Genomic DNA, 11,966 nt, shown 5'->3' with positions numbered 1-11,966 from the left:
TGATCCTACAAAGCCAGGCCAGGTGATGAGACTCTCTCTATTTTCTTTAGGGCAGTTCCCTGAGGTATTCAAGGTTATACACCTTCTCTCAATCCCACAGAGCTGAGATGGCTGTCTGCTTGTGCTTATGCACAACCTGCAGAAGTTTGTGCACACTCTCTGCAGGTATGTGCACAGGTAGTCAGCTGTGGGGAGGGTGAGGGATGCATGGAGTGCTGGGGGGCACACATGGGCTAGTTGAGGGGTTTGCAGGTGATGTATTTTATGAAGTTTACAAGTAGGCATCTTAGTGGAATAATGGAAGCAGTTAGTAGAAATTGTGGCCTTTGGTTGACTTCTGTGCCTCAATTGCTGTGGGCCTCCAGCTCTTTCCTTTTTTCTGTTTTCCTCAGACTAATCAGCCATTCAGATTGCTTCAGTATTTTGGGTGGGTCAAGAAAGAAGAAAGCCTCTTGTGTAGCTGTGGAAGCCAGACACTCCATGCTCTCATTTTCCCTCATGAAGGAAATCTTAATCCCTGGTGGTCTCTGTTGGCACTGGGCTGTGCTGCCTGAGAGGAGAGGTGACATGGGTAAAGTGAAACTGTTCCTGTTACACTTTTCTTTGCATCTATTCTCGGATTTTTTTTTCTCTAACAGGGTTTTGAGACCTCTCTGCTTGACTCTCAGACTCCTACAAAAGTATTCTTGTCCATGGGCAGGTGTCAAAATTGGTGTGTGTGTGTATGTGTGTGTAAGTTGGGGGGTTATGAATTAGGGTGAAGACTCCTATTCTACCATTTTGCTGACATTACTCTTCCACTTGATTCCTTCATAAAGTTTTAAATTTCCCATAGCCCTGTTTAAAGAAATTAAAATTTAATAGCCCAGATCTTTGTTTTTAAAAAAAAAGAAAAATCTTAAGAAACATATTTATAATAAACTTTTTATATGGAAAGATTACAAGCATTTATACAAACACTACAAACATTCTACAGGAAGTGCCTCCTCTGTCTGAGAGCCCAGAACAGACTTATGACACCTGTGGACAGTCAACGGGTTAATAACCCGCTCCTTTGAGAAATAATTGGCTTCTCCTTACCCCAGTGTAGGTGTGAATTTATGCTTACAGTATATCCATTAGTACCTCAAAAGGGTCCTATAGATTAGCACTTCTTAAAATTTGGTCCAGGCAACCCTTGGAGACTCTGTAAGGTAAGATTGTATTTATAACAATATAAAGATATTATTGGCCCATTTTGCTCATTCTTTTGCAAGTCTACAGTGCAGTTTTCTAAAGATTATATGGTATATAATGACATTTTAAAATAAAACATGTTAATATTTGAAAGTTAGTAAATGAATATTTTCTAAATTACCAATGCTTGACAATATAAAATCATCTATGAGATTAAAAAAAAAATTCTAATCACACAAGGAACCACAAAGTTGTAATGTCACTGGGTACAAAATAATCCATTGATCAGGTTTTATATTCTGCATTACAATTAACCTTTAAGAAATTACCACTTGTTGAGTTTCAGTATAATACTAAAGAAAGATGTCCACAATTTTCTAAAAATTCTATTTAAATGCTTCTCCTGGGGATTCCTGGGCAAGATGGCCAAATAGGAATAGTTCTGGTCTGCAGCTCCCAATGAGACCAATACAGAAGGAAGGTGATTTCTGGATTTTCAAGTGGGGTAGCCAGTTCATCTCACTGGTACTGGTTAGACAGTGGGAGCAGCCTATGGAGGGTGAGCAGAAGCAGGGTGGGGTGTCGCCTCACCCGGGAAGTGCAAGGGATTGGAGAACTCTCTCCCCTAGCCAAGGAAAGCCGTGAGGGACCTTGTCGTGAGGGACAGTGCTATCCAGCCCAGATACTACACTTTTCCCATGGTCTTCGCAACCCACAGACCAGGATATTCCTTCGGGTGCCTACACCACAAGGGCCCTAGTTTTCAAGCACAAAACTGGGTGGCCCTTTGGGCAGACACCGAGCTAGCTGCAGGAATTTTTTTTCATACCCCAGTGGCACCTGGAATGCCAGTGAGACAGAATCGTTCACTCCCCTGGAAAGGGGGCTGAAGCCAGGGAGCCAAGTGGTCTTGCTCAGCGAATCCCACCCCTAGGGAGCCCAGCAAGCCAAGATCCACTGGCTTGGAATTCTCACTGCCAGCACAGCAGTCTGAAGTTGACCTGGGACACTTGAGCTTGGTAGGGGAAGGGGCGTCCACCGTTACTGAGGCTTCAGTAGGTGGTTTTCCCCTCACAGTGTAAACAAAGCTGCCAGGAATTTCAGACTGGGTGGAGCCCACCACAGCACCCAAAGCCACTGGGCAGGGCATCTTTGAAAGAAAGGCAGCAGACCCATTCAGGGGCTTATAGATAAAACTCCCATCTCCCTGGGACAGAGCACCTGGGGGAAGGGGTGGCTGTGGGTGCGGCTTCAGCAGACTTAAATGTTTCTGCCTGCTGGCTCTGAATACACCAGTGGGTCTCCCTGCAAAGTGCTGGAGCTCGGCTAACGGACAGACTGCCTCCTCAAGTGGGTCCCTGACTCCATGCCTCCTGATGGGGAGACACCTCCCAGCAGGGGGCGACAGACACCTCATACAGGAGAGCTCTGGCTGGCATCTGGTGGGTGCCCCTCTGGGACAAAGCTTCCAGAGGAAGGAGCAGGTAGGAATAATTGCTGTTCTGCAGCCACCTCTGGTAATACCCAGGCAAACAGGGTCTGGAGTGGACCTCCAGAAAACTCCAGCACACCTGCAGAAGAGGGGCCTGACAGAAGGAAAACTAACAAACAGAAAGCAATAGCATCAACATCAAGAAAAAGGATGACCATGCAAAAACTCCATCCAAAGGTCACCAACAGCAAAGACCAAAGGTAGACAAATCCATGAGGATGAGGAAAAACCAGCACAAAAAGGCTGAAAATTCTGAAAACTAGAATGTCTCTTCTTCTCCAAGGGATCACAGCTCCTCACCAGCAAGGAAACAAAACTGATCGGAGAATGAGTTTGACAAATTGACAGCAGTAGGCTTCAGAAGGTAGGTAATAACAAACTCCTTTGAGTTAAAGGACCATTTTATAACTCATTGCAAGGAAGCTAAGAACCCTGATAAAAGGTTAGTGGAATTGCTAATAGAATAACCAGTTTAGAGAAGAACATAAATGACCTGATGGAGCTGAAAAACACAGCCCTAGAACTTTGTGAGGCATACACAAGTGTCAATAGCCAAATCAATCAAGTAGAAGAAAAGATATCACAGATTGAAGATCAACTTAATGAAATAAAGCATGAAGACAAGATTAGAGAAAAAAGAATGAAAATAAATGAACAAAGTCTCCAAGAAATATGGTACTATGTGAAAAGACCAAACCTACGTTTGACTGGTGTACCTGAAAGTGATGGGGAGAATGGAACCAAGTTGCAAAACACTCTTCAGGATACTACGCTGGAGAACTTTCCCAACCTAGCAAGGCAGGCCAACATTCAAATTCGGGAAATACAGAGAACACTACAAAGATACTTCTTGAGAAGAGCAACCCCAAGACACATAATTGTTTGATTCACCAAGGTTGAAATGAAGGAAAAAATGCTAAGCGCAGCCAGAGAGAAAGGTAGGGTTACCCACAATGGGAAGCCCATTGGACTAACAGCAGATCTCTCTGCAGAAACCCTACTAGCCAGAAGAGAGTGGGGGCCAATATTCAACATTCTTAAAGAATAGTATTTTCAACTCAGAATTTCATATCCAACCAAACTGTGCTTCATAAGTGAAGGAGAAATAAAATCCTTTACAGACAAGCAAATGCTGAAGGATTTTGCCACCACCAGGCTGCCTTACAAGAGCTCATGAAGAAGCACTAAATATATAAAGGAAAAACTGGTACCAGCCACTGCAAAAACAAACCAAAATATAAAGGCCATTGACACTATGAGGAAACTGCATCAACTAATGGGCAAAATTACCAGCTAGCATCATAATGATGGGTTCAAATTCACACATAACAATATTAACCTTAAATGTAAATGGGCTAAATGCCCCAATTAAAATGCATAGACTGGCAAATTGGATGAAGAGTCAAGATCCATTGGTGTGCTGTATTCAGGAGACCCATTTCACATGCAAAGACACAAATAGGCTCAAAATAAAGGGATGGAGGAATATTTACCAAGCAAATGAACAGCAAAAAAACAACAACCACAACAACAACAACAACCAGACAAACCATGGGTGGCAATCCTAGTCTCTGATATAACAGACTTTAAACCAATGAAGATTAAAAAAGATAAAGAAGGGCATTTCATAATGGTTAAGGGATAAATGCAACAAGAATGGCTAAATATCCTAAATATATATGCACACAATACAGAAGCACCCAGATTCATAAAGCAAGTTCTTAGAGACCTATAAAAAGACTTGGATTCCCACACAGTAATAGTGGGAGACTTTAACACCCCACTGTCAATATTAGACGGACCAACAAGACAGAAAATCAACAAGGATATTCAGTACTTGAACTCAGCTCTGGACCAAGCAGACCTAATAGACATCTACAGAACTCTCCACCCCAAATCAACAGTATATACATTCTTCTCAGCACCACATAGCACTTATTCTAAAATCAACAACATAATTGGAAGCAAAACACTCCTCAGCAAATGTAAAAGAACAGAAATCATAACAAACAGTCTCTCATGGCACAGTGCAATCAAATTAGAACTCAGGGTTAAGAAACTCACTCAAAACCTCACAACTACATGGAAATGGAATCACCTGTTTCTGAATGACTACTGGGTAAATAATGAAATTAAGGCAGAAATAAATAAGTTCTTTGAAGCCAGTGAGAACAAAGACACAAAGTACCAGAATCTCTGGTTCACAGCTAAAACAGTTTTTACTGGGAAATTTATAGCACTAAATGCCCACAGGAGAAAGCAGAAAAAATCTAAACACCCTAACATCACAATTAAGGGAACTTGAGAAGCAAGAGAAAACAAATTCAAAAGCTAGCAGAGGACAAGAAATAACTAAGATCAGAGCAGAACTGAAGGAGACTGAGACAAGATAGAGACCATCCTTGCTAACATGGTGAAACCCCATCTCTACTAAAAATACAAAGAAAATTAGCCAGGTGTGGTGGTGGGTGCCTGTAGTCCCAGCTACTCGGGATGCTGAGGCAGGAGAATGGCGTGAACCTGGGAGGTGGAGCTTGCAGTGAGCTGAGATTGTGCCACTGCACTCCAGCCTGGACAACAGAGTGAGACTCCATCTCATTAAAAAAAAAAAAAAAAATCAATGAATCCAGGAGGTGGTTTTTTGAAAAAATTAATCAAATAGATAGACTGCTAGCCAGACTAATAAAGAAGAAAAGAGAGAAGAATCAAATAGACACAATAAAAATGATAAAGGGCATATCACCACTGATTCCACACACTACCATGAGAGAATACTATAAACACCTCTACGCAAATAAACCAGAAAATCTAGAAGAAATGGATAAATTCCTGGACACATATATCCTCCCAAGACTAAACCAGGAAGAAGTTGAATCCCTGAATAGACCAATAACAAGTTTTGAAATTCAGGTAGTAATTAATAGCCTACCAACCAAAAAAAGCCTAGGACCAGATGGATTCACAGGTGAATTATAGCAGAGGTACAAAGAGGAGTTGGTACCATTCCTTCCTAAACTATTCCAAACAATATAAAAAGAGGGACTCTTTCCTAACTCATTTTATGAGGCCAGCATCATCCTGATACCAAAACCTGGCAGAGACAAACAAAAAAAGAAAATTTCAGGCCAATATGTCTGATGAACATCCATGCAAAAATCCTCAATAAAATGCTGGCAAACTGAATCCAGCAGCACATTAAAAAGCTTATCCACCATGATCAAGTGGGCTTTATCCCTGCGATGCAAGCGTAGTTTGCAAATCAGTAAATGTAATCCATCACATAAACAGAACCAATGACAAACCCACATGATTATCTCAATAGATGCCAAAAAGGCCTTTGATAAAATTCAGCACCTCTTCATGCTAAAAACACTCAATAAACTAAGTATTGATGGAATGTATCTAAAAATAATAAGAGCTATTTATGAAAAACCAACAGCCAATATCATACTGAATGGGCAAAAGCTGGAAGCATTCCCTTTGACAACCAGCACAAGACAAGGATACCCTCCCTCACCACTCCCATTCAACATAATATTGGAAGCTCTGGCCAAGGTAACCAGGCAAGATAAATAAATAAAGCATATTCAAATGGGAAGAGAGGAAGTCAAATTATCTCTGCTTGCAGATGAAATGATTGTATATTTAGAAAACCCCATTGTCTCAGCCCAAATACTTCTTAAGCTGATAAGCAACTTCAGCAAAGCCTCAGGATACAAAATCAATGCAAAAATCACAGGCATTCCTATACACCAACAATAGACAATCACAGAGCCAAATCATGAACAAACTCCCATCCACAATTGCTACAAAGAGAATAAAATACCTAGGAATACAACTTACAAGAGATGTGAAGGTCCTCTTCAAGGAGAACTACAAACCACTGCTCAAGGAAATAAGCGAGGACACAAACAAATGGAAAAACATTGCATGCTCATGGATAGGAAGAAACGGTATTGTGAAAATGGCCATACGCCCAAAGTAATTTATGAATTCAATGCTATTCCCATCAAGCTACCATTGCCTTTCTTCACTGAATTAGAAAAATCTACTTTAAACTTCATATGGAACCAAAAAAGAGCCTGTATAGCCGAGACAATCTTAAGCAAAAAGAACAAACCTGAAGGCATCATGTTACCTGACTTCAAACTATACTACAAGGCTACAGTAACCAAAACAACATGGTGCTGTACAAAAACAGATATATAGACCAATGGAACAGAACAGAGGCCTTAGAAATAACACCGCACATCTACAACCATCAGATCTTTGATAAGCCTGACAAAAACAAGCAATGGGGAAAGAATTCCCTATTTAATAAACTTTGGGAAAACTGGCTAGCCATATGCAGAAAACTGAAACCAGACCCCTTCCTTATACCTTTTACAAAAATTAGCTCAAGGTGGATTAAAGGTTGAAATATAAGACATAAAACCATAAAAACCCTAAAAGGAAATCTAGGCAATACCATTCAGGACATAGACATGGGCAAAGACTTCATGACTAAAACACCAAAAGCAGTTGCAACAAAAGCCAAAATTGACAAGTGGGATCTAACTAAACAAAAGAGCTTCTGCACAGTGAAAGAAACTATCATCAGAGTGTATAGGCAAGCTACAGAATGGGAGAAAATTTTTGCAATCTATCCATCTGACAAAGGGCTAATATCCAGAATCTACAATGAACTTAAACAAATTTACAAGAAAAAAGCAACCCCATCAAAAGGTGGGCGATGGATATGAACAGATACTTTTCAAAATAAGACATTTACATGGCCAACAACCATATGAAAAAAAGCTCATCATCACTGGTCATTACAGAAATGCAAATCAAAACCACAATGAGATACTATCTTATGCCAGTTAGAATGGCCATCATTAAAAAGTCAGGAAACAACAGATGCTGGAGAGAAAGTGGAGGAATAGGAACACTTTTACATGGTTGGTGGCAGTGTAAATTAGCTCAACCATTGTGGAAGAAAGTGTGGCAATTCCTCAGGGATCTAGAACCAAAAATACCATTTGACTGAGCAATCCCATTACTGGGTATATACCCAAAAGATTACAAATCATTCTACTATAAAGACACATGCACATGTATGTTTATTATAGCACTATTCACAATAACAAAGACTTGGAACTGACCCAAAATGCCCATCAATGTTAGACTGGATAAAGAAAATGTGGCACATATACACCAAGGAATACTATGCAGCCATAAAAAAGAATGAGTTCATGTTCTTTGTGGGGACATGGATAAAGCTGGAAACCATCATTCTCAGAAAACTAATACAGGCACAGAAAACCAAACACCGCAAGTTCTCACTCATAAGTGGGAGTTGAACAATGAGAACATATGGACACAGGGAGGGGAACATCACGCACTGGGGCATGTCTGGGGATGGGAGGCAAGGGGAGAGATAGCATTAGGAGAAATACCTAATGTAGATGACGGGTTGGTGGGTGCAGCAAACCACCATGGCACATGTATACCTATGTAACAAACCTGCACTTCCTGCACATGTATTCCAGAACTTAAAGTATAATTAAAAAAAAACTTCTCCCTTTTCCCATATCTGTGTAAGATGAGATTTTCTTCATATACCTCAACTAACTAACATAGCACAACAGATCGAATGCATACACATGTACAGGAATCCAGTTGTCTTGTATTGAGTCAGACATTAATGAAATTGAAAATAATAAAAAGAAGCCATTCTCTGTTAATCTTCCACTTGGTTGTTAAAAAAAATGGTCACTTCAGCATACATTGGATTTATTATTATATTTATTTATTGATTCTTTTACTTTTTTTTTTGTAGAGATGGAGTCTTGCTCTGTTTATCAGATTGGAATAGAGTGGCTATTCAGAGGCATAATCATAACACATTGAATCCTTGAACTCTTGGGCTCAAGTGATTCTCCTGCCTCAGCCTCCCAAATAGCTGGGATTACTATTTCATGACTCCATGCCTGGCTCACTATTCTTTTAAAATAAATTAATAAACACATATTATAAGAATTTAGCAGTAATTATCAATTGATGCATACACATAGGAAAAATCTCATGAGTATTCACCATCATTTTTAAATGTGTAAAAGATTCTTGAGGCCAAAATTTTGAAAACTGCTGCTACAGATCATGTTTTAATGCTCCTAAAAAATATGAAATGAATGTCTTAAAAAAGAAAATACTAAGTTGACTTTCTTAAATGAAAAATAGGTACAGAACCCATGAACACATGCTAAAATTGTAGTTGTCAAGTATGGCCTCTTTTGCATACTCACAGTCCCTTTTCATTTATCATAGGTTTTTCTCTTACAAAATTGTATAAGAGGATGGTCAGAAATCCATGGTTTTATTTACCTTGTTGATGCTCGTGTATTCAGGAGACATAATGGGAGTTAAGCTTTGCACCACCTTGTGTCATAGTACTTTAGATAGGGCTTGAATAAGTAATAATAATAGGGAAGTAATTCTATGGTATAAACATGAATGTTTGGCTTGGCTGGACACAGTGGCCCATGCCTATAATCTCAGCACTTTGGGAGGCTGAGATGGCAGGATTGCTTGAGGCCAGGAATACGAGGCTAGCCTGTGCAACATGGCAAGATCCTGTCTCTATAAATAAATAAATATTAGTCAAGTGTGGTGGTATGCACCCATAGTCTCAGCTCAGATCCTCAGTAGGAGGATTACTTGAGCCCAGGAGCTTGAGGCTGCAGTGTGCCATGATTGTGCCACTGTACTTCAGCCTGGGTGACAGAATGAGACCCTTTCTAAATAATAAATAAACAAATATAAATATGTCTAATACTACCAAAAAAATCTTGGGTAGATAGTACCTAATTCAAATAAACCCCTGCTTAATTAACATTTCATTCAATCCAGCATTCATGGAATGGATCCAAGCTCTGTGTTAAACCCAAAGATCACACCGTGAATTATTCACCCAAGGTTGGAGAGACATTTCCTTTAATCAACAAAGCAGTCAAGAATCCTTTCTATAAAGACAGATAATTTTTAGCTGTACCTAACAAAAGAAATGTATTTTAGTAGGCCTAGAAATTATTATTAAAATTGTAACATGTTTTATATAATTACCCATATATTTCTTTGTAAGGACAATTAACAATCTTGTTCTCAGGCACAGAGTCCAACAAGCCAACTCCTGAGAGGATAATACACGGTCATTCATAAATGATTACTGGTGGAAATGTACTCTTGGCTTTCATGGTCTGGAAGATCATTGCTGGCTCTGGAGTATGCATTCTCTGTAATTTGTTGGCTTCACTTTTCAACTCTAAAGTCACATTTCCCAACAAGGAAGCTGTCTCAGCCTGTGTGGGGGTCAAGTAAAGCCTTTCTATGATGAAAGTATGCTTCATATGTTTAAGTGTTATTATATGCCACATTTTGCCTTGTGATACTCACATTATTTCATATGTTAGTCCTTTCCACACTGGCTATAAGTTTACCAGTTATACCAGGTAGTTTTCACGTTACGTGTTATTCTCTCTGTGATTATCTTTTCTCTTCATTTCCAGATGTTCTTTTCTTTCTTCAATGTCTTCTATTGGTTTTCATTTTTATGAAATTTCTTTTGACTCTGCCAGAATATTTTAGGAACATCCAAAATGGAGTGAATGCATTCTAAGGGCGTGTGCAAGATAATTCATTAAGGTACAGAAAGAAAACAGCAGTGCTATTCTTCAGATTTATTTTTGCTTCATTTAAATATACTTATTGTAATGGTCACAGTATATGAGTTCAGAAGTGCATGTGTGTAATTTATATATGAATATCCATATATGGTGAATTTATCTCAGCATTTATTTTTAATGGCATATACTATCAAAAAATATTTTGGGAAGGGGCTAACATGGCTGACTAGAAACAGCTGCAGTCAGACATACTCACAGAGAAGAATGAAAATGGTGAATAGAATCCTGCACTGGAAACTAAAGTATCCAGGTTCTCTTATTGGGACTGACTGGGTGGTTGGCATGCCCCACAGACAGCAAGGAAAAGTATGGTGGAGCAATGGCCCACCCAGGAGTGGCATGAGGAAAGAAGAGATCTCACTCCCAGCCAAGGGAGGCTGTGAGTGATTGTGCTACCCTGCCTAGGAAATCATGCTTTTTCCACAGATCTGTGCAACATACAGATCCGGAGATCCGCTCTTGAGCCCATGGCACCAAGGCCTTGAGTCCTAAGCACAGAGCTGTGCAGATTCTCAGTGGCCCCTGGGCTGGAGACTGACTAAGACTACCGAGTTCCTTGGGGGAACACATGGCCACCATCACTTTGGCTGCCAGCTGCCTAAGATGACTGAGCTCCCAGGGGGAGGGGTGGCCATCATCACTGCAGCTGCCTGCTGCCTAAGAGGACTGAGCCCCGCCAGGAGGGGTGGCAACCATCACTGCAGCTCCAGCCTGCTGTTTTTGCCCTGCCAATGCCAGGGAGACTGGGTGGATTGGACCCAGGAGGAAATCCTCACAGCGCAGAGCAGAGGCCATAGCAGCTCGTGGTCAGACTGAGTCTTTAGGACAGGCCTGGACCCATCCTTCCTCACTGGGCAGGGATCCCTGTGGGAATTTCAGCACCTCCAGCCTGGGGTTTACAGATAGAACTCTGATCTCCCTAGGACTGAGCCCCTAGGGGGAGCGGTGGCTGTGTCTCTGCAGATCAGTGAACTTAGTTTTTCCCCTGCTGGCTCTGAGGTAACCAGGCAGTCTGCACAAGTGGGATTCCCCCCAGTGCAGTGCACCCCTTCTGCCAAGGGGTAGCAAGAGTCCTTCATTAAACAAGTCCCTGGTCCTGTGCCTCCTGAATTGGTGAGACCCCCCACAGGGGTTGCCAGACACCTTATATAGAAACATTCCCACTGGCATCAGGTTGGTGCCCCTCTGGGATGGAGTGCCCACAGGAAGGAGCAGGCAGCCATCTTTGCTGTTCTGCAAACTCCACTGGTGACACCTCCAGGTGCAGGAGGGACCCAGGCTAATAGGGTCTGGAGTGGACCTCCAGCAACCTGCAGCATCCCTACCGAAGCGGGGCCTGACCATTACAAGAAAAACAAACAAACAGCAACAACAACAGCATCAACAAAAAAGTCCCCACAAAAACCCCATACAAAGGTTAGCAGCCTCAAAGATCAAAACTAAATAAACTAAGGAAGATGAGAAAGAATCAACAAAATATGCTAAAAATTCAAAAAGCACAGAGGCTGTGGCAGCTCATGGCCAGAATTTGGAGAAGAGTGCCCGTTTTCCAAACGATTGCAACACCTCTCCAG

General features: G+C 41.0%; 1 annotated feature.

Moving 5' to 3' along the window:
- Nucleotides 2,481–2,660: an enhancer, noted in NCBI's record as "active region_27617". NCBI's record gives its function as "activates an Ori minimal core promoter by ATAC-STARR-seq in GM12878 lymphoblastoid cells {active_cell/tissue: GM12878}" and the evidence as "EXISTENCE:reporter gene assay evidence [ECO:0000049][PMID:35858748]".

The sequence above is a fragment of the Homo sapiens genome, chromosome 8 (assembly GCF_000001405.40).
Source record: "Homo sapiens chromosome 8, GRCh38.p14 Primary Assembly".
Classification (NCBI taxonomy): Eukaryota; Metazoa; Chordata; class Mammalia; order Primates; family Hominidae; genus Homo; species Homo sapiens.
Note: the sequence above shows the minus strand (reverse complement) of the source record. Positions and strands in the feature narration are given on the sequence as shown.